Source organism: Homo sapiens, chromosome 15 (assembly GCF_000001405.40).
Source record: "Homo sapiens chromosome 15, GRCh38.p14 Primary Assembly".
Taxonomy (NCBI): Eukaryota; Metazoa; Chordata; class Mammalia; order Primates; family Hominidae; genus Homo; species Homo sapiens.
Genome location: NC_000015.10, coordinates 74,147,690 through 74,172,416, shown reverse-complemented (window position 1 = coordinate 74,172,416; position 24,727 = coordinate 74,147,690). Strand labels below are relative to the sequence as shown.

General features: G+C 44.3%; 1 long non-coding RNA gene across 2 annotated transcripts, besides 1 other annotated feature; it reads left to right on the top strand.

The window, feature by feature from the left end:
* Window positions 4,023-4,202: an enhancer, noted in NCBI's record as "active region_9744". NCBI's record gives its function as "activates an Ori minimal core promoter by ATAC-STARR-seq in GM12878 lymphoblastoid cells {active_cell/tissue: GM12878}" and the evidence as "EXISTENCE:reporter gene assay evidence [ECO:0000049][PMID:35858748]".
* On the top strand, window positions 16,053-19,618 carry LOC124903523 (uncharacterized). 2 transcript variants are annotated; one of them, XR_007064708.1, is made up of 2 exons: window positions 16,053-16,290; window positions 19,212-19,618. It is a non-coding gene; the product is annotated as an uncharacterized LOC124903523 (long non-coding RNA). The 2 variants fall into 2 exon arrangements; XR_007064707.1 differs by lacking the exon at window positions 16,053-16,290 and adding an exon at window positions 17,345-17,388.
* The last annotated feature ends 5,109 nt before the right edge of the window (window positions 19,619-24,727 follow it).

The window sequence follows — 24,727 nt, the reverse complement described above, 5'->3', positions numbered from 1 at the left end:
AACACCCGAGTCTGATGCTGAGGATATTATTATGGTCCAATGGAGAGCACCCTCTCTTTCCCCTGCAGAGGAAGCCCTCTCTTGCATCATCCTGACTGTGCTGGAGAATTTCTAGGAAAGTCCTGAATTTGGTGGGCCAACCAGAGGCTGCAAGAAACACATCCAGGGTTCAGTAAACCAGAGGGGAGACTCAGTGACCTCAGTGTCAGTCAGGGAGGGCTTCCTGGTGGAGGGGGCTTCACTATGTTCTGCACAGCCCATACACACACCCTCACCTGCACAAAGTCTGTGCCACCAGCTTTACCTCCAGGGTGCTCTGAGGAGCTCATAGTTCCCACCCCACCTCCCTCCTTGCAAGCACATCAGGGTCAGAGTACAAGCACCTCCTCAGCCCTCAGTTCCCAGTGACTGTTCTCTCAGACATTCCTGACTTTTCTTCATAGCTCCTCCTATAAGCTGTGATTATTTATTCATGCGTGCTTAATGTGCGACCCCTTACTAGAGAGGAAGCCCACTGAGGGCAGAGGCCTTAACTTCCCAGGTGCTATTGATCTCCAGCACAGGGAAGACACTCTGTAAGCGCCCCCTTCATGGCATGATGGACAAGTTGGGTGGTCATCAGAAGGAAGCATTTTAGAGCTCACCCACTTCATCTCCTCATCAACTTACAGATAGGGCCTTTGGGCCCAGGCTAGGGAAGGGGCATGCCCAAGACATTTTAGAGAATATTTCATACAGTGTAGGAGACCCATGCTCTGTTGGGTGGGTGAGTATGTCAGCAGCCTTCTGGGGGCAGGGAGTCTGTCCCCTCATTCCCTACCTAAGACCTTAATGACAGCCAAACACTAAGCTCAGACTCCCACCTCAAAACAGATGTGGGGGGCTGAGGGCGGGAAAAGTGGGAGGGACCAGCCCACCTGGGCAGAAATGAGACTGTGCGTGCTGGTCACTGATGTATCTTCCTGGTCTGCTCAGGTCCTGCCACTGCCTGCAAGGTGTGGCCATACCCGCTTCCACCAGGAAGGACAATAAGGCCGCCAGGATCTCAGCCAAGGACTATTGACTCTCCAAGGTGTCTCACAGTGGGACAGGTGGGCCTGCTCCTCAGCAGAGCCCAGGAGCAGTTGTGCAGGCCTCTGAGGATGGGGCGTATGACCTCCTGGGTTGCCCCTCTGCTCTTCTCTTGCTGTCAGAGCTCAAGTTCTTTCTGTAAAGCCCACCTCACAGGAGATCATGCCAGCAGGCAGGGAGACAAGTCAGAAGTCGGGCTCCCTGATCTTTTCAGGCTGGGAGCTTCCTGTGGGCTGTCTGGGCTGCCATCTCCCCTCTCCTGGCCTCCTCTAAATTGGGCTCAGGCCTGAGATGGGGACCCTTGGTGAGTATGTGCGGCCCTGACTGTCCCCAGAACTAGGAGGCCAAGCTTGGGAGCCCCTCCTGTGAGTCCTGGCCCTGTCTCCTGTGGGTCCCTGGCAGCTTGTAGGGTGACCAGCCAACAGTCCTGGTTCACCTGGAACTGATGGGTTTTCTGGGACATGGGACTTTCCATGCTAAAATCGAGACAGTCTCAGCAAACCAGTACAGTTGGTCACCCTAGCAGGGGAGGGGGGCTCACTCCCTCCCACAGTTTTTCTTTCCCCCTGCTCCCCTTCCTGCCTGCAGAGGTCCAGCCCTCTCTCCTCCCATTCCGCTGCCTCTCGCTCTGCTCCTGCTCCTGCTGCCCCTAGCCAGGGCGCCAGCCGCACCCCAGCTGTGGCTGCTCAACCAGGACTCCCCCACCCCAGAAGGCCTCACTCCCACTGACCAGGGGCACCACGTCAGCTTTTCCTGGAAGGCAAAAAAAAAGATCCTGATGAGAAGATGGAGCGAGAGGGACAAGCCCAGCAGAGACAGAAAACTGGAGAGAAACAGAGAAATGAGAGAGACACCAGGAAAGAGAGGGAAAAACAGAGAATCACAGCCTCCTTTCTGGAGGTAGAGAAAGGAAGCAAGGGAGAAAGACCCAGAAAGAGAGATGGAGGAAGAAGGTCTGAACCCGGAAACAGGCTCTGAGAGGAGAGAGGCAGTCGGGGGCTGCTGTGGTCAGCTGTGGTTGTGGGCTGTAGCCATCCCACCAAGAGGGGCAGAGTCTATCTTGGTCCCGACACTGTATTCCCCCCAGCAGCCTGCTGGAATAGCTGGGAGGAAACTCGGGGCACTCCTGGTGGGACTTGGTTAAGCCTGTGGGTGTCCTGGGAGAGAGAGGCTGTTGAGAAGATAGGGTTATGGAAGGAGCTTTGGACAGCTGGTGGGACTGCGTGCGTGCATGTGTGTGTGTGTGTGTGTGCGCGCGCACACACACACAACATGCACATGCATGGGGGGACATAGAGTGATCTGCCTAGGTCACCAAATTATGAGGCTTCCTTTTTCTAGGCCTTAGTGCCTCTGTCATACGTGAGAGTTGGTCTAAAGTCCTTTGGCCCCTATATTCTGCCTGTTTAGAATTCTCAAAAATGTCTACACTAACACAAGGGGCCCGTGTGCATGCGTGTGTTCATGCACAATTTCTGTGTGCATGCATGTGAAAGGTGAGCCTGTGACTATTCTCCATGTGTGTGTGTTGTTCATGCACAAGTGTGGGGATGTGAGGTGGAGTGAGCAGGAGCTCGTGGCATGTGCACCCAGGGCTGTGGATGGGGGAGAGGCACTGCAGGCCCTATCTTCTCTTCTGGCGTCACCCTAGCCCAGAGGTTGCAGCTGACCTTACCTGGGGTGGCCTCACTCCCATTTCCTCCCCATTCTCCTCCACCCCTTCCCACCACTTGGGCATGAGGGCTTCTCCCCTCTTCTCAGGATCTCTGACCTAGGAACCCAGGTGAGCCTTGGTGGGCAACCTGGCCACTTTCCCTGGCCTCACCCCCCTTTGCTCTGGCCCTGCTCACTGTGTGCAGCCCCACGTGTGCCCTGCTCCCACCTTGGGGCTGCTGCTCCTACTATTTCCTCTAACTGGACAAAGTCTGTCCACACCTGCAGGGCTCCCTTCCTCTTGTCTTTTGAGGTTTGTTCAAATGCCAGCTCCCCAGAAAGGCCTTCCCAGGCCACTCTATATAAACAGTCTTTGTCCCTTGCTGTCTCCTCACCTTGCCTTACTTGTCCTTCTTCCCTCCCCTCCCCTGACATCTCTGTTAGTGTGTTTCCTGTCTATCTCCGCAATCTGAATGTGAGCTCCACACAGGTGGGTACTTCGTTCTGTCCACTGCTATCCCCCTAGTGCCCAGCAAAGGGCCTGCCACTTAGTAGGTGCTTAACAAATAGTTGCTGAACAAAGGAATGAATGAACAATAACCTTGACCTTCCAGCTGGAGCCTTTGCCCCCCTCTCTCCTCCCTCCTCCGTCTGCCCAGGGCCTCCTAAGCCCTCCCTGCTGACTGTCACTGCCCTTCCACTCAGGGCCATCTCCAGCCACTTTTCTGGTCCCCTCTCCTGGCACCATTCCCACTGCTCTCTCCTGACCTTCATGTTCATCCTCAGGGACTATTTTCAGCAGTAGCACCAATTGAAGCATACTTCATAGGAATTATTTTTGTTTTTCCCCAAGCCAGTCCCAGTTTCCAGGAATGCAGAACTTGGCCGCACCCCCAGGATACATCACAGACCTCGAGTTTTCAGCCCCAGCCCTTCCCAAAGGGTAGGGGTGGGACTGGGGAGTGTTATGAATGACAGTGAGTGTTCAGTTTAAAGTTCTAGATTGGAACCAGTGCTATAGGGTCAGGATCACGACCCTCTGTTAGCTGTGGGGCACTAGGAATGGGCCAAGGGCCATTTGTTAGGGGTCAGCATGAAGGGTCTGGATTAGACGCGGGTGCAGGTTGAGTGGGTGGGGCAGGGTTAGTTTAACCCTGAGGATGAAGCAGGATCTGGGGTCTGGAATGGGGGAGTCACAATAATCCCTCTGCTCCAGGGGAAGATGGAATTGAGGGTAAAGGGCTTGGAGGGTAATGCAGAGAGAGAGAAAAGGAGAAACGGGGGGACCCAGCAGAAAGCGAGGGTGAGGGAAGGGGGAGGGAGGGAGACTGAGACATAAAGAGAACAGTGGTGGCAAAGGCCTGGGACAGTCAGGAGGAAGGTGGAGCCTCTCACTGACAGCAGAAACCCATCTGGCTTGGCAGACACCTGCTTCTCACGAAGAGGTGAGGCTGCAGCGCTGTTCCATGCAACACCTCCCCACCCACCCCCAGCCACCAGACAGAGACTGTGGGCAGAGCTTGGCCTTCTCCCAACCCTGAGGGGCTACCAGGAGGTACAGGTGGGAGCACCAGGCTAGAGATGGAGGGAGGAGAGAAGCTCTGGCAGAGAATGCTGACCAAGAGGAGGCAGGGCAAGCAGGCTGTGCTGACCTCAGCCCAGGGAACCTCTCGGGGGAGACAAGAAGACAGGTGGCCAGTGGGCCTGGGGAGGTGGTATTGTCTTCAGGGGCCTCTGGGAGAGCAGGCCAAGCAGGACAGAAGGCGGCACAGCTGCTGAGGGTTGTAGAAGCTGAGAGAAGAGAGGTGAGAGCTGCGGATCAGGAAGACTCAAGGGAGGAGGTGAGAACTTGGATAATTTTCATAAGTTTTATTGAAGTGAAGCATGCAAATGGCAAAACAGAGCATCACATTGACAGAGAGGCCTCTAACAAAACACTACGATCCTCCTTCTCCCACCCTCGCCTTCTCTTATGCACTCTCCAGAGCAACAACTGATGGTTTCTGGTTCTTCTTCGGCTGTGGTTACACACGTCAGGCCTGCCCATAACATTTGCAGGGCCTGTGACAAAAGAATAATTGGAGGCCCATATACCATATGTGTAAATATTTTATTTATTTATTTATTTATTTATTTTTGAGATGGAGTTTCACTCTTCTTGCCCAGGTTGGAGTGCAATGGTGCGATCTCGGCTCACTGCAACCTCTGCCTCCCAGGTTCAGGTGATTCTCCTTCCTCAGCCTCCTGAGCAGCTGGGATTACAGGCACGCACCACCACGCCCAGCTATTTTTGTATTTTTAGTAGAGACAGGGTTTCTCCATGTTGGTCAGGCTGGCCTCAAACTCCTGACCTCATGTGATCCACCCGCCTCGGCCTCCCAAAGTGCTGGGATTGCAGGTGTGAGCCACTTCGCCTGGCCTATTTTCTTTTCTTTTCTTTTCTTTTTTTTTTTTTGAGACAGAGTCTCACTCTTGTCTTGCTATAACAAAATACCTGAGATTGGGTCTGTCGCCCAGGCTGGAATGCAGTGGCATGATCTTGGCTCATTGCAACCTCCGCCTCCTGGGTTCAAGTGATTCTCTTGCCTCAGCCTCCCAAGTAGCTGGCATTACAGGTGCCCATCACCACGCCTGGTTAATTTTTGTATTTTTGTAGAGACGGGGTTTGGCCATGTTGGCCAGGCTGGACTTGAACTCCTGATCTCAGGTGATCCGTCTGCCTTGGCCTCCCAAAATGCTGGGATTACAGGCATGAGACACCACATCTGGCCATATGTGTAAATATTTTAAAGTTATAAATTCTACAAAAGATTTAATATGTTCTGTTCTCCAATCCATGACAAATGTGTCTTAATAACTACGTGGAAGGCCAAATTCAAAATTTAGAATTCTTGGTGTCCTCATAAAGAGGAGAAATTTGGATACAGAAGGAAGACAAGGTGAAGACACAGGGAGAACATAAAATGGAGATGAAAGCAGCTGGTGGAGCCGTGCATCTGCAAGCACCAGAGATCGCCAGCAAGCAACAGATCCTAGTAGAGAGGCCTGGAACAGATCCTCCCCTGCAGAAACCAACCCTGCTGACACCTTGATTTCAACCTCAGCCTCCAGAACTGTGAGATGATAAATTTTTGTTGTTTGAGTCACACTGTTTTTTATTTTTATTTATTTATTTATTTATTTTTAATGAAGTCTTGCTCTGTCACCCAGGCTGGAATACAGTGGTGCGATGTGGCTCACCGCAACCTCCACCTCCCAAGTTCAAGCGATTCTCCTGCCTCAGCCTCCTGAGTAGTTGGGATTACAGGCTCCTGCCACCAAGCCTGGCTAATTTTTGTATTTTTAGTGGAGACAGGGTTTCACTACATTGACCAGGCTGGTCTTGAACTCCTGATCTCAGATGATTTGCCCGCCTTGGCCTCCCAAAATGCTGGGATTGCAGGTGTGAGCCACCACGCCCGGCCGAGTCACACTGTTTTTGATACTTTGTTATGGCAGTCCTAGGAAACTCATTCACTCTGCTGGGAAAAACAAGGTTTTAGTTCATACGCATGGCTCCCTTTCATCACTCTTCATTCCTCCTGGTTTTTGCGAGTTAAAATATTCTTGGTTCTTCCACTGGTTACCTTTGAGCTCTAAGTAATAGACCTACATCCTACTCCATAGAGTGAAGATACAATCGAATGACTTCCCACTATGTAAAATAAGAAACCGACTTCTATCTCTCCTCTATCTCTCAAGTCTTTAATAGTCTTACTTTTACATTTTAAATGATGATAACATTTAGATACTATTCTGAAGTCATTATTATAACAGCTGCATTTTGTCCATAAATTGACTCTGAAAAAATCAATAAACCAATATTACATTCTCATGCCTGTGTGAGTACAGTTCACTGTCACCGCTGAGCCAAGGAATATCCAAGAATTACATTTCTTTCCTTTCTGATCCAATGTCATGATGCCCAGGCTGCTCAGAAGGGGTCCTTAGCATCAAGGTCAAATGTATTCAATTTTCTTATGCTCCATCAGCTGCTCAAAGACATGCCACATTTCATTTGCTTTATATTTGGGCTACAGCTTTTTCTGCACAGCTTTTCATTTTCCTGGAGTTTCTAATTGCTTTCTTTATTCTAATTGTCAAAAGAATAATGTGCCTTCAACCAATACTAAAAATAACCCACCTTTGTATACATATTCTTATGCTGACATTACCTGGTATTAAAAGCACCTACTTTCTTAATGACTTACCTTATTGACATATGAGCTTCTTCTTTTTATTTTTGCTTTTCAAGCAACTGGAAGCCCTTTTAACCCTAAAGCCTCTTCAGTTGCAGAACCCAGAATGAAGCTGGGCTTTAGAGAGCATCTAATCAGAGCCCATTTGAAGCTTCACTCTCTTCCCTGATATGTGATCATAATGTTCCCTCTAGAATCTCATTGATGTTGGGGAGCTTTCTACTCCAAGGAGACCCATTTGCTTTGGAAAGGTTTTAAGCGTCTTCTTCTTGGAGCAACTCTGTCTTAGTTCATTTTTGTTGCTATAACAAAATACCTGAGATTGGGTCATTTATAAAAAAGAGAAATTAATTTTCTCGCAGTTCTGGAGGCTGGAAAGTCCAAGAGCAAGGCACCAGCAGGTTTGGTTATGTCTGCTGAGGGCTGTTCCCTGCTTCCAAGATGGCACCTTGTTGCTGCATCCTCCAGAGGGAAGGAATGCCATGGTCTCAAGTAGCAGAAGGGATGGAAGGGCAGTAAAAGAGTGAACTCCATCTGTCAAGTCTTTTTTTTTTTTTTTTTTTTTGAGATGGTGTTTCACTCTTGTTGCCCAGGCTGGAGTTCAGTGGCATGATTTCTGCTCACTGCAACCTCTGCCTCCTGGGTTCAAGTGATTCTCCTGCCTCAGCCTCCCAAGTAGCCGGAATTACAGGCATTTGCCACCATGCCCGGCTAATTTTTGTATTTTTAGTAAAGACGGTTTCACCATGTTGGCCAGGCTGGTCTCAAACTCCTGACCTCAGGTGATCCACCTGCCCCGGCCTCCCAAAGTGCTGGGATTACAGGCGTGAGCCACCACACCTGGCCTGTCAAGTCTTTTTATAAGAGCCCTAACCCCCTAACCCTATCCGTTTATGATTATGGAGCCCTCGTGACTCAATCACGACCTCAAGACCACACTTCTTAATACTGTTGCATGGGGCATTCTGTTTCAACATGAATTTCAGAGGAGACACTATTATACAAACCATAGCAATCTCCAATCATCATCAGGCTCATGCCTCTCCCTCAGGGAGCACCCAGTTAGGAGGACCACTTTCTGTTTGTCTTTGTCTTCCTCCTTCATGATGTTCACACATGAAATGATCCCATATGTCTGTGGGAAAGGATGAAAAAGTTCTCCCTCACTGGCTATTTTCTCTATTGTGTCCTGTTGTTGTTTGGTTGGTCTTTTAACCCATGAGGCCTCTATCCCAAGGTAGAGAGGAGCTGGAGGGAGCATTGTGACTGACCAGCTTCTCTTTAGGGCATGTGACCCATTAGGCTGGGGGCAGCAGCACCCACACTTAATCTCTACCCAGGTAATTCCCTCCCTAGGGAAGCAACCTTCAGTGTTACGGCTGGGAAAGAATTAGAAAACAATTAATTAATTATACCCTTATTTTTAGCCTTTTTTTCTTTAGGCAGGAATTACCAAAAATCATATCTACTATGTTTTAAATTCCTACATTGTTAGTATATGCCAGGCCCCCTTTATACATACCATCTCCTTACACAAACCCAGGGTAGGTACTTTTTTGTTTTGTTTTGTTTTAGAGATGAGGTCTCCCTTTGTCACTCGGGTTGGAGCATAGTGGTGCTTCATAGCTCACTGCAGCCTCAACTTCCTGGACCCAAAGGATCCTCCTGTCTCAGCCTCCCAAGTAAAGGTAGGTACTTTTTATTGCCCATCTAGAGAAAAGAGCACTGAGACTCAGGTTAAGGAATTTTTCAATGTCCCCTTGGTTAGGAAATAGGTGACTAGAGTTTGAACCCACATCTCTCTGATCCCGAAGCCCTGGTTCTTTCGTTCTTTTGAGAGGCCATGCAGACAGGATAGGTTCGGTTTCAGCAGGAAAGGGCAGTTTTAAAAACATGAAGGCAGCTGGGCGCAGTGGCTCATGCCTGTAATCCCAGCACTTTGGGAGGCCGAGATGGGCGGATCATGAGGTCGGGAGTTCAAGACCAGCCTAGCCAACATGGTGAAACCCCGTCTCTACTAAAGATACAAAAAGTTAGCAGGGTGTGGTTGCACCTGTAATCCTAGCTACACAGGAGGCTGAGGCAGAAGAATCGCTTGAACCTGGGAGGTGGAGGTTGCTGTGAGCCAAGATCGTGCCATTGCAATCCAGCTGGGCATCGGGGCGAGATTCCGTCTCAAAAAACAAACAAACAAACAAACAAAAAACAACAACAAACATGCAGATAGACTTTGACCAAAATCAAGAGCCCTCCAGAGGGCCAATGGGAGCTGGGATATAGGAAGGGAGCTGGGGCCAGTTTCCTGTTGGCTCTTCTTTTGTGGATATCAAGAGCCAGTACAGGGGCTTTGATGTGACAGGTCAGGATAAGAGCAAGGCTTATGAATCCAACATCTGGCAAAGATAAGACAGATTAGAAACTGGGGGACAGAAGAGGACTGGGGGAGGCTGTGAGAGTTGTAAGGAGGCTATGTCAACAGCCCAGAGAAGAAGCAGTGGTGAGGGAAGGGGTAGTAAAGTGAACAGGTGTGAGAGGTGGTGAAGAAATGACAAGATGGGTCATAAACTGGGCCTAGGGCAAGCAAAGGGGGCTTTCACTAGACTGGCAGAAAGAGTGCAGTCACTGTTCTGTGTGACGTTCACTAAAGCAGCTTCAGCGGTCTAGAAATATTCATTATTCCATCCACTCCATAAGTACCTCCTGGGCTCCAACCATGAGACAGGCAGTAAGCCAGGTGTGGGAACAGAGCAGGGGACAAGAGTGACGATGGGTTGCCTTCATGGAGCTCACAGTATGGTGACGTGGACACTGCCCATCAAAAATAAGCTTTCTGGGTCAGGTGTGGTGGCTCACACCTGTAATCCCAGTACTTTGGGAGGCTGAGGCAGGAGGATTGCTCGAGCCTAGGAGTTCAAGATTGGTCTAGGCAACATGGCAAAAGCCCATCTCTACAAAAAATAAAAAATTTGCTGGGCGTGGTGGCACATGCCTGTAGTCCCAGCTACTTAGGAGGCTGAGGTGGGAGGATCGATTGAGCCAGGGAGTTTCAGGCTGCAGTGAGCCATGATCATGTCTCTGCACTCCAGCCTGGGCAACAGAGCAAGACCCTGTCTCAAATAAATAAATAAATAAATAAATAAATAAATAAATAAATAATAAATAATAAAGGGCAGAACTCTTTCTGCCCTCCCCCCACCCCAACTCCTTTTTTCCTCTTGAGACACGAAGACCTGAGGACTCTCAGAGCCCTGGGTCTGAGCTCTGGGAGAGGGGGCAGTCTGGTTGACATAACCCCCCACCTCCCTGGGGCACTTTTCCTCAGCCAAAGCTGATTTTTTACCCAGAATATGCTCAATGTCATACCCATTCCTGGGACCCTTTCCGCACCTGTTCCCATTCTTCCGCTCCACAGGCAGAATTTTCTTTCTTTATGTTTTCTTTTTGTCTTGGTTCCCTCTGAGGCAGTTGTGAATGCCAATCAAAATGACTGCTATAAAATTTTAAAATAAGAAAATACCACTACACATCTATTAGAATAGCTGAAAATTTTTAAAAATGAAACAAATTATCAAGTGCTAACTAGCATGCAAAGCAGCTCATACACTGCTGGTGGGAATGCAAAAATGGTTCAGCCACTTGGGAAGATAATTGGGAGTTCCTCACATAGTAAAACATACATTCATAATATAACCCACGAATTCTGCACTTAGGCAGTTACCCAAGAAAAATAAAAATGTGCACACAAGAACCTTTATGCACATGTTTATAATCACCAAGAACTGGAAACAACCCAAATATCCATCAGCTAGTGAATGGATAAAAACACCACCACCACCACCACCACCAGGGGCTCATTGTATCCATACAATGGAACACCACTCGGCAGTCTAAAGGATTGAGCTACTGATATGCACGACAGCCATGTGGATGGAACCATAGATACATGATGCCGGGCCAGGCGTGGTGGCTCACACCTGTAATCCCAGCACTTTGGGAGGCCGAGGTGGGTGGATCACCTGAGGTCAGGAGTTTGAGACCAGCCTGGCCAATATGACAAAACCCCTTCTCTACTAAAAATACAAAAATTAGCCAGGAATAGTGGGGGATGTTTGTAATCCCAGCTACTTGGGAGGCTGAGGCAGGAGAATTGCTTGAACCTCGGAGGCGGAGGTTGCAGTGAGCCAAGATTGCCCCATTGCACTCCAACCTGGGCTCAGAGAGAGACTCCATCTCAAAAAAAAAAAGAAGAAGATGATGAAGAAAAAAGAAACATGATGCAAGTGACAGACAGGATCACCAATATTTTAGAAAGACAACCCGGGACACAGCCATGCCATGCCATGCCAGACGAATACAAAAGCCATAATACCATATATAATAAATAATTATACACGGATGTGCCATTGATTTTAAAATATTACCATAAAATATGGAAGATAGGTGCTTATTTGAAATTATATATTCTGATTTATTTACCTTTCTGTTATATAAATGTTATTTAAACCAGACAATAGGACTAGTTAATAACAAGTAGTGACAATTAATAGTAAGACCAATTAAATATGTGTGAAAAAATAAAACAATATTTTTACACTGTTTTTATCCTTGTATATGGCAATTTGTTTTTAACTTTTTAAAAGTCCTTATTGAATATTTAAGGTTTATAGGCTATTTATTTTATATTATTAAGATATATAAACATAAGACTTCTAAAAAGGAAAACGTAACTATTCACGATAGCAAAGACATGGAATCAACCTAAATACCCATCAATGATAGACTGGATAAAGAAAATGTGGCACATATAGACCATGGAATACTATGCAGCCATAAAAAGGAATGAGATCATGTCCTTTGCAGGGTCATGGATGGTATTGGAAGCCTTTATCCTCAGCAAACTAACACAGGAGCAGAAAACCAAACACTGCATGTTCTCACTTATAAGTGGGAGCTGAATGATGGGAACACATGGAAACATCGGGGGAACAACACACAATGGGGCCTGTCAGAGGGTAGGGGTGGGAGAAAGGAGAACATCAGGAAGAATAGCTAATAGATGCTGGGCTGGCTTAATACTGAGATGATGGGATGATCAGTGCAGCAAACCACCATGACAAACGTTTACCTGTGTAACAAACCTGAACATCCTGCACATGAACCCCTAAACTTAAAAGTTGGAAAAGAATAAAAAAAAGGAAGGCAAAAAATTAAAAAGGAAAATGAAAATAGAATAGGAATGATGAAACAGGTATTTCATATATTTGATTTTTTAAAAATGTCAGTTTCCTCCTGTCCCATGCTAAAGTAAGATGCCTTAATGTCAGTTTCCTTCTGTCCCATGCTACAGTAAGATGCCTTTTATTCTTTCAGCTTCCTGTCTTAATAATAGTTCTCTGAATTGCCTGTGGCATTTATGACACCCATCCTTTCTTTTATGCAATGATAAAACTGAATGGAGATAAGTATAACATTCACTTTGGCCTGCGGCTCTGCTCTTCTCAAGCCCACATTACACTGATTTCTAGTGTCAGTCTGATGTGATAACACAATGCTAAATAGCTTCTCAACAATACTGTGTGAGGGCATGGAGTACCTAGGCTTTTATTTACTAGCAACAGCAGGTTTTTAGACTTGTAGGAGTTAATTTCCACCTCTCCATAAATGTCCATCCCCTGTATCTATGGGCTTGTTTTGGTAGGCCAGCTGTTCGTCAATCAGTTCTTTTGCTTCAATAAATTAATCACACAGGCTATCGATGTCTAAAATGTCTGTCATTCTAAAACACTTCAAAGCACATTGGATGTCATCATAAGGTAAGCCTCTTTTCTCTGGAAAAAATGGTTTCAAAGCAGGGAGGTACTTTGAACTTGTGAAATTGAAGCTGGATTCCAAATAAGTTACAGTTTTAGTAAAGAAATTGAGAAAATCCTGTTTAACTTGGCTGTCCTTTCCTAGTGATAATTTTTTAAGTTTCAAAGCAGTCTTATTTCCAAGAAATGAGTCATTTGTTCACTAGATGAGTTTTTGTCACAACCTACACCTAAATGGAACGAGTTAGATGCACTTAGTTCATCCTTTTCTGTAGCTTTTTTAAAGATTATGAAACAGTCTTGGAGAAACGGCATATAAATTTCCATTTTACAGTAATCCTTTTCTCTGTTCTCATCCTCAATGTATTTCCAAAGTAGTGAAGGACATTCTTCTCATCCTACACTTTGAAAATATGATTTTATAGTAGGCCAACATGCTAACATCTTTTCTGCAAGACATCTTGTAGGCATGTCTAAGAAGGCTATCTCCTACCACGCCCATAAAAATCAAAAATCTCATAAAGCGCCTCTGCATGCTTTGAGGAAACTGAAAACTAACCAAAAATGTCATTATGAAACTGTCAATGTCACAGTAGGCAAATCATACCTCTTTTTAGCAGTGTTATGTAAAAGGTACAGAGGGGTCAGGACGTTTAGCAGGAAATTTTTAAAATTTCCTTTGGTAAGTTTATAGACTGAATGGAATTTTCCAATATTTACATTTGCACCATTTGCCAAATATGCAGATAGATGAGCAGTCTAGTTTGCATTTGAACACAATATCAACAATCTTTTGTTTTATATATTCTGCAATTTCATCACAATCTTCATAGAAGTCAGGAAAACAACTTGAAACTCCATTTTCCAAATAAAAAATACTTAAGAGCTAGGGAGAACATGTTTTTGTTGCCGTGATTCCACACATTGCTTGATAGAGTTTAGAATGCATGCTTGTTGGAGTAGTTCTCAGAATCAGCTCTATACCATAAAGGGTCAACCCATCTGTTATCAAAATTTCCCCTTTTGTTCCCACTTGGGCCATTTCAGTTGCAACTTCTGAATCAGGAAATGTGACTTCACTCAGTTTCATACAGCATCAAGGAAAAAATATGATAACGAGAGTTTGTTTGTGTGATAAGCCCAGGTGAATTGAGTGGCTACCACTTTCAACTGGGCATTAGTGTCTTTTTGGAAGATGAGAAAACTTGAAAGATTGATTGACTGATGATTGATTGATTGATTGATTGACTTAGAAGTACCTGTCCCCTCCTAGACTGGTGAGATTCAGATCTATATTAGTGAACAGCACTCCCCTACCTCAGGCAGGGCTGCTGCACACAGCCCAGGAGGTACTCCCTGCACTGCAAGGACAACAGAAGAACATCTCTGGGGACAAAGCAAGAGCATGTCACCTCCCCAAACTAGAGCCAGTTTTCAGGGTGACTTTTCTAGACTAATGCACAGCTGTTCAACCGTGTAGATGGAAAGGTGGGAGGTGATGTTGTAATGATTGTAACTGCTTCTGGGCCTGACACATGATGGAGAGAAGTTGGGGAGTGTTCTGCGCTGTGAGTGATCTGAGGATTTCACTAACATAACATCCTCAGTTCTCTGCCCTGGGCAGGGAGGCAGGTAGAGTGAGCAGGCGCAGATCATCGGGTGCAACCGGCATTCATGGAAGAGGGAGCATGTTGCGTGTGCAGGTTGGATGCATCTTTGTCATCAGTTATCCAGGAGAAGGACAGTGCTCCATTCGGCACCCTAGGAACAAACAGGTGCTCTGTCAAACTAAGAAGGACCAGGCAGAGGTCAGCTGGTTGGAAGAGATTCCCAGGAAAGACAGAGGGCTAGGCTACCGGGTCACGGGTTAGCCAGCAATAAGGCCAGTGGGAGGATATAAGTGACCCTCGGCCTGCAGCATGAGCATCAAAGAGCACACAAAGTGGAGGGAAAATGTCTTTTATTGTTGGATAATTACCTTGTTTCTAGCTCGTTGCTATTACAAACAGAAAAAAAGGAATAATCAGCTGAAAATGGATTCAAATGATATTTTTAGGTAAAGAAAAAAAGAAAAATCCATCAAAATTAAGAAAATCAGATCACTAAAATGCTTAAAGATGCATAAATGTTTGCAAAACCTCTCTATGGGGAAAAAATTAATCAGATGGGGGAAACCAGTGATTGGGGATGTTCAGTGCTGGGGACATTAGTGTATGCCCAGATTGCTTTGGATGAGTCTATTTTTGCCACATTGAGATGCTGGTTCTGTTGGGCAATGTCGTTTTCCCATGCCTCTCAGATTGACAGATTCCAGAAAGCTGGCAGAGAGGCAGGGTTTGTCAGAGGACAGACATGAGATCCAGAAATAGGCCAGAGCCAGTCAAGAGTGATGAAAAGATAAACAAGGCCCAGCGAAGCTGCCGGGGATGGGGACCGGCCTCAGCAGCAGTGTCAGGGAAAGGGTGAACAGATTTTAGTAGACTCAGCTTCCTCAAGAGCAGCTGCAACCCGCAGATCAACTTCCTGCCTCAGTCAATAGGGTGGGCCAGGCTGCTGCAGAGACACGTCTGTATATCCAGTTGCAAGCTGGAGAAAGTAAATATGGAGAGAGCAAGGCAAGGGCTAGCAGAGAGCTCAAGCAACTAGCAATCATTTGTGCGTTTCCAACCCATTATTTGAGCTTCATGTGACACTGTCATAGTTAACCATGTGAACACAATTACTGCCACTCAGTCACCAACTCCTGCAGGAGCAAGGACTTTTAGAGATCTGCTTCTAAATGATGTAACTCTCTCAGAAAAGTAACTTAACTGTTCCCACTCTGTGACTGCATTCATTTCCATGGCAGCAGGATGTGTTTCCAGAATCCCTGGCAGCTATAGCTGTGAACAGGGAGAACATAGCTCCTGGAGCAAGCAGAGGCCAGACACCAGCTCTCCCAGCTTCCTTCTCTGTCTCCTGAGTTCAGCATCTGTTCGTTCATTCATTCATTCATTCATAAAACACATAAAGAAGTACCCACTATGCCTCAAGCACAGTCTAAGTTCTAGGGAAGAAAGGTGAATGAGCTCTATTCCTGACTGCAGTCAGGTTTCTGATATTGACTAAGTTTTCATCCCCAGAAAATGGTGACTATATTTTGTCAAATAAAAACAAATCCAGAATTAGAGAGGGAGGGAGAGGCTTTAATTAGAAAGACGATTGCAATATGGAGAACTCTCCCATCTCAGAAATCTGTGAGTGTCTCAAAATCAAACAGAAATAACTTTTTCTTTCACAGGGTAAAGAGAGGACAAGCAGAGGTAAGCAAACGTTTGGAAGGGAAGCTGGCCACACAAGGGGTGGGGTCTGGCGGGAGTGTGCCTAGGAAAGACAGGGTCAGCCGATTCCCAGGAGGAGCTGATAAGGGGTCACAATCCACTTTCTGTTATGCTTGCTCAGGCTTGGAGGAAAGCAGACCTCAGAAGCCTGGAGGAAAGAGAGAAGCTGCCTAAACCTTGGCCAAGCCAAAGCAGACGGTAAGAAACAGGCCGCTGCGGACACCTGGTCAATCTCCAGCAACCGATGCTTTTGATGAGTGTCAGATGGGTGGCTGATGAGCACCGAGCCTCAGCTGATGAGCTGCATTCCTCAACCATTTTCTAATAACCATCCGCTCACACATCCACACACAGACAGACCCACAGGGCTCCTTTCCTGTGGTGATTTTGATTGCCTTACTCTATACTTTATCGTTTTCTAGGCCACGAACAGTAGCTTCCTTCTGATGGGTAAAATTCAACCTAATTAAACCCGAAGCACACCCAATCGCCAAAGAAAGATGAAGAAACAGATATATTCCTTTGTTTCTTGAATAGAAAAGCCCGAAGAATGGAAATAGGATTTATAACTTCCTGACTGTAAGAAGAAAAATACCATAAATAAAACCTGACCTATCTAACAAAGGGCACAAATGGGGGTGGGAGGCAAAAAAGCATGGCCGATAGAAAACTCAAAGTGTCAGGAATCAACCCAAACATATCATTAAGTATAAGAAATTATGAATAAGTTGTTATAAATTAAAGGAAAGACATTCAAATTGGGTTTTTGAAAATCCAGTTAGATGATTTACAAGTGTTCAGTTATCTATTGCTACATGACAAACCACTCTAAAACTTAATGGTTTAAGATGAAGATGATTGATCATTTTTCATAGTCCTGTAGGCTGGTATCTGTGTGGTTCTTCTGCTGATCTTGTTGGGAGCACTCATGTGGTTGCTGTCAGCTGACAGCTCAGCCAGAGCTGGAGACTCCAGGATGTCCCCCGTGCATGTCTGGGGGTCAGTAATTGTCTTGACTGGGGCGCCTCAGTTCTCTTCCATGTGGTAGTTGTCCTATTGTAAAAATGACCATTTAGGAATACTCTTGCTGTCCACTGGGCTGACTCACAGGCATTGTGACATGAAAGGTCAGGGTCAAATGTATCACAATATGAACTTGGGCTGGCATGGTGGCTCACATCTATAATCCCAGCACTTTGGGAGGCCAAGGTGGGAGGATCACTTGAGGCCAGGCGTTAAGAAACCAGCTTGAACAACATAGTAAGACCTCATCTCTACAAAAAATACAAAAATTAGGTAGGTGTGGTGGCGTGCACCTGTAGTCCTAGCTACTTGGAAGGCTGAGGCAGGAGGATTGCTTGAGACTGGGAGGTCGAGGCTGTAGTCAGCTGTGTTCATGTCACTGTACTCCAGCCAGGACAACAGAGCAAGACCTTGTCTCAAAAACAAAACAAAACAAAAATGAACTTGTTCTAAGGCATTTGGCAATGAAGCAGCTGGGTAGTAGAGAAAAAACAAATTTTGAGATGTACAGAGCCAAAAAGCTTGGCTAGGGAAAACCCTTCCCATTAGATATAGAAATTTGCGAGGAGAGTACTCAGTTCTCATTAACGTTTAGTCAAAGCCAGCAGTCTCTCCTGTCAATAATGTATTCAACATTGCAAAATAGACCAACACCTTCAACATTCTAAGGGAAAATAGTTTCAAACCTAGAATTCTACGTCCAGCAAAACTATTAATTGTCAGGGCACTTTTTTTTTTTATTTTTGAGTGAGAATCACATGAAATCGAATTTATCAGAATCCCTATGTCTGTGGGACACAAAACTGCAATAGTATTATAACTTCAAGATCACCAATAATAAAAAACAAATTTTGATCAAACATACTGAAGAAAATACTGAATTGTCTTTTTATTTTTCTTTCTGGAAATTATTACAAACCATTACCATTAAGAAGAAGCACAGTGGCTTTGTACTATGTTAACTTGGCTAGGCTGAACTGTTTTTTTCAGAATTGCCTTTCTGGAATGTTTCCAAGTAGGGTGGCCACACGATATTTCTTTTTTTTTTTTTTTTTTTTTTTTTTGGGGATGGAGTCCCATCTTGTGGCTCAGGCTCGAGTGCAGGGCTTGATCTTGGCTCACTGCAACCTCCGCCTCCCAGGTTCGAGCAATTCTCGTGCCTCAGCCTCCTGAGTAGCTGGGACTACAGGTGTGCATCACCATGCCTGGCTGATTTTCGTATTTTTAGCAGAGACGGGGTTTTGCCATGTTGGCCAGGCTGGTCTCAAACTCCTGACCTCAAGCAATCCGCCCTCCTCGGCCTCCCAAGGTGCTGGGATTACAAGCGTGAGCCACCGCGCCCAGCCACAGAGACATTTTTGAAGGTGATTTAGAGGGTGGAAGACAGGCAGCAGCCATTTGGTTGCTTACCTGCTGGCTGACCTCTTGGGCATGGGGCAGCAGCTGGGCTTGTACCTCCTCCAACTTCTCCTGATCCTCTTTCAGTTGCTCTGACTCCTGGCCCAGGTGTGTGTTAAGCTCTGCGAGGCAGGGCACCAGCTTCTCCCACAAGACACCCACATCATCAAGGTTGGAGACAGTTCTGCTCTGTCCTTATAGGTTCCACCTCATGTTCTTGGACTCTAGCTTGTTCTTGCTCTCCCTGGAGTTTTATTTCCCTCTTCCTTTCCACCCTGCCTGCCCTGCAGACTTCAAACTCCAGCATCAGATGCAAGGTAACAGCCTTACAAAGCATGCTTAGTCAGCTTCCACAATTGTGTAATGTTGAAGCCCTACAGCAAATCCATTTAAAGAGAGGGAGAGAGAGAGAGAGAGAGAGAGAGAGAGAGAGAAACATATCCTTCTAGCAGGATCTGCTTCTGCTTTTGATTGAAGGTCAACTGATACAAAGGTCTTCAGAGATACAACTAAAAGTTCAGGAGAAAATCATTATAAAGCAATGTCATGTAGTTTAATGTTCGACTACTTTCCTGGATTTTGTGGTTTGTGGTAATTGTCACCATTTTCAAAAACTGCAGTTTGTTGTGATTTCTTTTCCCACATTTCTTTGATGTCTAATTTTCCATTTGTGATTCTGTATAATTGCATAATTTTAGGCCTCACAAGATCAAGATCCTCTCTTGCTTCTCTAGAGAATGTGCTCCATCAAAAAGAGAGAATAAACCAAGAAGAGGAAGACAGAGGATCCGGAAACAGGGATGATGGTGCACGGAAGTCCCAGGATGACAGCTGTGCATCAGGCCTTCAGCAGCCAGGATGGGAGCAGAAGGATGGGGAGCTCTGGGAGTGTCTCCAAGAAAGAAAAAGAAACTGATCAAATATCTAATTTTTAAAACATATTGAGGGGAAATTTATACTTCTGCAATAAATTTTAGGATATCGTAATAGAAACTAAGAAAATAACAAATAAAAAAACAAAAAAACAAAAAACAAGGTAATTATCAACCGCGGGAGAAGAAAGGTTGTATGAGAAAAGAAATAAAAACAGAATTCAGTACATGGATCAGCTGTGAACTGTGTTTGCATAATTATTATAATGTAAACATTGGAACAATCATTTCAGCAAAAGTTGCAATTTAATCATATTGGAAGGATGAAAGGAAAGTTGAGTGTGTTTGTGTCTTTGTGAAAGAACGAATTTATTCAACCTCCATAGGAAGTCAATAGGTGATACATAAAATTGAAAAAATAACAGGAAAGCATGTTATTTTTTAATATGGTAGGAAACAGCAGAAAAAACTGAAAAAGTTCAAAGTGGAAGGGAAAGCACTAGGAACTGGAATCAGAGATAAAGTATGGGACTGTTTTCTCATTATAAACCTTAGAGAATTATTAATTAAAAATGAATTCTAACACTAGAAAAAGATATATTAGGAATATATTTTTAAAAAGAAAGTGGGAGTGAGAATATTAATATTAGAAAAATAAATTCAGGACCGGGTGTGGTGGCTTAGGCCTGTAATCCCAGCACTTTGGGAGACTGAGGCGGGAGGATCACTTGAGTCTGGGAGTTCAAGACCAGCCTGGACAACATGGTGAAACCTCATCTCTACAAAAACCGCAACAAAATTTAGCCAGGCATGGTGGTGCATGTCTGTACTTCTAACTACTTGAGAGGTTGAGGCAGGAGGATCAAATGAGCCTGGGAGGCAGAGGTTGTAGTGAGCTGAGATTATGCCACTATACTCCAGCCTGGGTGACAGAGTGAGATCCTGTCTCAAAAAAAAAAAGAAAAAAGAGAAAGTCAAGGCAAAACACAATAAAAAGAACAAGAACAAGGAGGCTACTCATATTAAAACATAGGATAGTTCACCAAGAAGATATAATAGGCACAAACATTCATGCATCTACTAATATAGCTTTGACAGAAATATAAAGAGAAAACAAATCTCAAATCAAATTAGGAGATTTCTAATACACCTCTCAGAAGTCCACAGGTCAGATAGAAAATAAGTAAGGATATGAATGGTTTGATAAAAATTAAGGAACTTGATCTTAAAAGTAATCTAAAATATCTTACCCAATAAGAAAATACATATTCTCTTCAAGCACACACAAAATTTTCAAAAAAAAATTAAACATGTACTAGCTCACAAAAGAAATCAATAAAACTCAAAAAACAGAAGTCATACATGACACCTTCACAAGTCACATGTAATAAAATTAGGGCTGAAAAAAGAATAGGCCAGGTGCAGTGGCTCACGCCTGTAATCCCAGCACTTTGGGAGGCCGAGGCGGGTGGATCATGAGGTCAGGAGTTCGAGATCAGCCTGGCCAACAGAGTGAAACCCCGACTCTACTAGAAATACAAAAATTAGTTGGGCAAGGTGGCACGCTCCTGTACTCCCAGCTACTTAGGAGGCTGAGGCAGGAGAATTGCTTGAACCCAGGAGGCGGAGGTTGCAGTGAGCCAAAATCACACCACTGCACTCCAGCCTGAGCAACAGAGCGAGACTCCGTCAAAAACAACAACAACAAAAACAAAACAAAACAAAAAAAAGAATAGTCAAATAAAACAAGAGCAACAGCAACAGCAACCACAAAATGATCCTGAAAAGTTTTAAATATGTATATAAATATTATTGGGTTAAAGAAATAACTCAAACAAGAATTACAAACTTTTCATTGTGGTAAAATATACGTAACATAACATTTTCACCACTTTTAAGTGTACAGTTCAGTGGCATTACATTCATTCATATTGTAGTTAATCATCCATCCATCCATCTCTAGAACTTTTTCATCATCATACTGAGATGCAAACTTTTACAAGAACACTTAAAACATTACATAGTAAAACTTGCAGTATTCATCCAAAACAATATGCAGGGGATCTATAACCAATGGATTCACCCAAAAGCAATAAATGTTTAAAAAATTAACTAAGGTCTCAACTCAAAAAGCTAGAAAAAAGAAAAATAAATAAATCCAAAGAAAGTAGAAATAAAAATACTGGTAAAGATAAAAATCAGAGATTAATGAACTAGGATGGATGCAGTGGCTCACACCCATAATCTCAGCACTTTGGGAGGCTGAGGCGATTGGATCAATTGAGGTCAGGAGTTCAAGACCAGCCTGGCCAACAGGGTGAAACCCCAACTCTACTAAAAATACAAAAATTAGCTGGATGTAGAGGTGCACACCTGTAATCCTAGGTACTTGGGAGGCCGAATGAGGCAGGAGAATCGCTTGAACCTGGAAGGTGGAGGTTGCAGTGAGCTATGATTGCGCCACTGCACTCCTGCCTGGGTGACCAAGCAAGACTAGTCTCAAAAAAAAAAAAAAAAATTTAATGAACTAGACAGAAAAAGATGTAGAGTTGATTAATAAAAATAAAAGCTAGGTGTTTTGTGAAAAGACCACAGCTTGGGAATCTTAACAGAAAAAAAGAGAGGAGACATAAAAAACAACATTAGGAGTGATAATGAAGACATGATCATGTGAATAAATAAAAATAAGGATTGGTTATAAAAATAACATTTAAAACATCTTGCTTGGTGTGGTGCCTCTCACTTGTAATCCCAGCACTTTGGGAGGCAAAAGTGGGAGGATAACTTGAGCCCAGGAGTTCGAGACCAGCCTGGTCTCAACGTAGTGAGACCCTGTGTCTAATAAAATAAAACAAATAAAATAAAATAAAATAAAATAAAATAAAATAAAATAAAATAAAATAAAATAATTCACCTAGAGAATCCCAAGGAAAATACTAAAAATTCTTAAAACCAATAGTTAGTTCAGCAAGGTTGCAGATATAAGATCAACACAAGGCCAGGCGCAGTGGCTCACGCCTGTAATCCCAGCACTTTGGGAGGCCGAGGCGGGTGGATCACGAGGTCAGGCGGTCGAGACCATCCTGGCTAACACGGTGAAACCCCGTCTCTACTAAAAATACAAAAAAAAAAATTAGCCGGGTGTGGTAGCGCGCGCCTGTAGTCCCAGCTACTAGGGAGGCTGAGGCAGGAGAATGGCCTGAACCCGGGAGGCGGAGCTTGCAGTGAGCCAAGACAGCGCCACTGCAGTCCAGCCTGGGCGAAAGAGCGAGACTCCGTTTCAAAAAAAAAAAAAAAAAAAAAAAAAAAAAAGATCAACACAAAAATCATCACTTTTTATATACTAATAATGAACACCCCCAAAGAAATTGGGACATAACAATTTTTTTTTTTTTTGAGACAGAGTGTCGCTCTGTCTCCCAGGCTGGAGTGCAGTGTTGCAATCTCGGCTCACTGCGAGCTCTGCCTCCCGGGTTCATGCCATTCTCCTGCCTCAGCCTCCTGAGTAGCTACGACTAAAGGCACCCGCCACCACGCCCGGCTATTTTTTTTTTTTTTGTATTTTTAGTAGAGATGGGGTTTCACCATGTTAGCCAGGATGGTCTCGATCTCCTGACCTCGTGATCCGCCCGCCTCGGCCTCCCAAAGTGCTGGGATTACAGGTGTGAGTCACCGCGCCCGGCCAAACATAATAAAATTCATACAGGATCTGCAAGCTAAAAATTACAAAATGCTGATTAAAAAAGTCAAAGACAACCTAAAGAAGTAGAGAGACAATATCATGTGCTCACAGATTAAAAGGTTCAACATTGTAAAAATGTTTATGGGTTTAATGCAATGTCTTTGTCTTTCTTTTGTAAACATAGATTTGCTTATTCTAAAATTTATATGGAAAGACATAGCCCCTAGAATAACTAAAACAATCTTACAAAAAAAAAAAAAAAAAAGTAGGCGGAACGACTCTACCTGATATTAAGTCCTACTATGTGGTTACAATAATCAACACAGTGTGTTATTGGTGGAGGCACAGATACAAAAATCAATGGAATTGAATAGAAAACCCAGAAATAGACCCACCCAAGCATGCCCAACTGATTTTTTAACAAAGGTGCAATAGCAATTCAACAAAGGAAGGATAGTCTTAACAAATGGTGCTGGAAACATTGGACATCTACAGACAATGGGTTCATCTAAACCTCACACCTTATACAAAAATTAACTGAAAAAGTATAACTTGCAACTATAAAACTATATATGTGCAACTATAAAACATATAACTATGTTTTCAGACAAAAACATAGGGGAAAATCTTCAGGATCTAGGACTAGGCAAAGAGTTCTTAGACGACATCAAATGTATGATCCATAAAAGGAAAACTTGATAAATTTGACCTCATCAAAAAGTTTTTAAAAGTCTTCCTCTGTGAAAGACCCTGATGAGGATGAAAATACAGGCTACAGAATAGAAGAAAACATTTGCAAATCACATATCCAGCAAAGGACTAGTATCTAGAATGTATAAAGAACTCTTGGCCAGGCACAGTGACTCATGCCTGTAATCCAGCACTCTGTAGGGGCTGAAGCGGGCAGATCACCTGAGGTCAGAAGTTTGAGATCAGCCCGACCAATATGGTGAAACCCCAACTCTACTAAAAATACAAAATTAGGCAGGCGTGGTGGCGTGCACCTGTAATCCCAGCTACTCGGGAGGCTGAGGCAGAATTCCTTGAACCTGGGAGGTGGAGGTTGCAGTGAGCTGAGATCATGCCATTGCACTCCAGCCTGGGCAACAAGAGTGAAAAAAAAAGAAAAGAAGAATATATAAAGAACTCTCTAGTATCTAGAATACATAAAGAACTCTCAAAAATCAATGGTAAAAAAATCCCCCAAACCTGAGAATATGTTAGGTTACATGGCAAAAGAGAATTCAGGCTTCAGACAGAATTAAAGTTGTGATTCAGCTGGCTTTAAAATGGGGAAATTATCCTGGCTTATCTGGGTGGACTCAATGTGATCACTAGGATCCTTAAAAGTGGAAGAGAGACACAGCAAAGAGAGTCAGACAAAGAGATGTGATGACAGAAGCCGAGTCCGGACTGCAAGGGGAAAAACAATGCATACATATATGGTCACCTCACTGATGACAAAGGTGCTAAGGCCTTACTTACAGTGGGGGAAAAGATAATCTTTTCAATAAAAGGTGTTAGGTCAACTGGATATTCACATGGGAAAAAAATGAATCTTGGCCCCACCTCACTCCTTATACAAAAGTAACTTCCACATGCATTGTAGATGGAAATAAAAAAGGTAAAATCATAATGTTTTTCACAAGAAATCATAGGA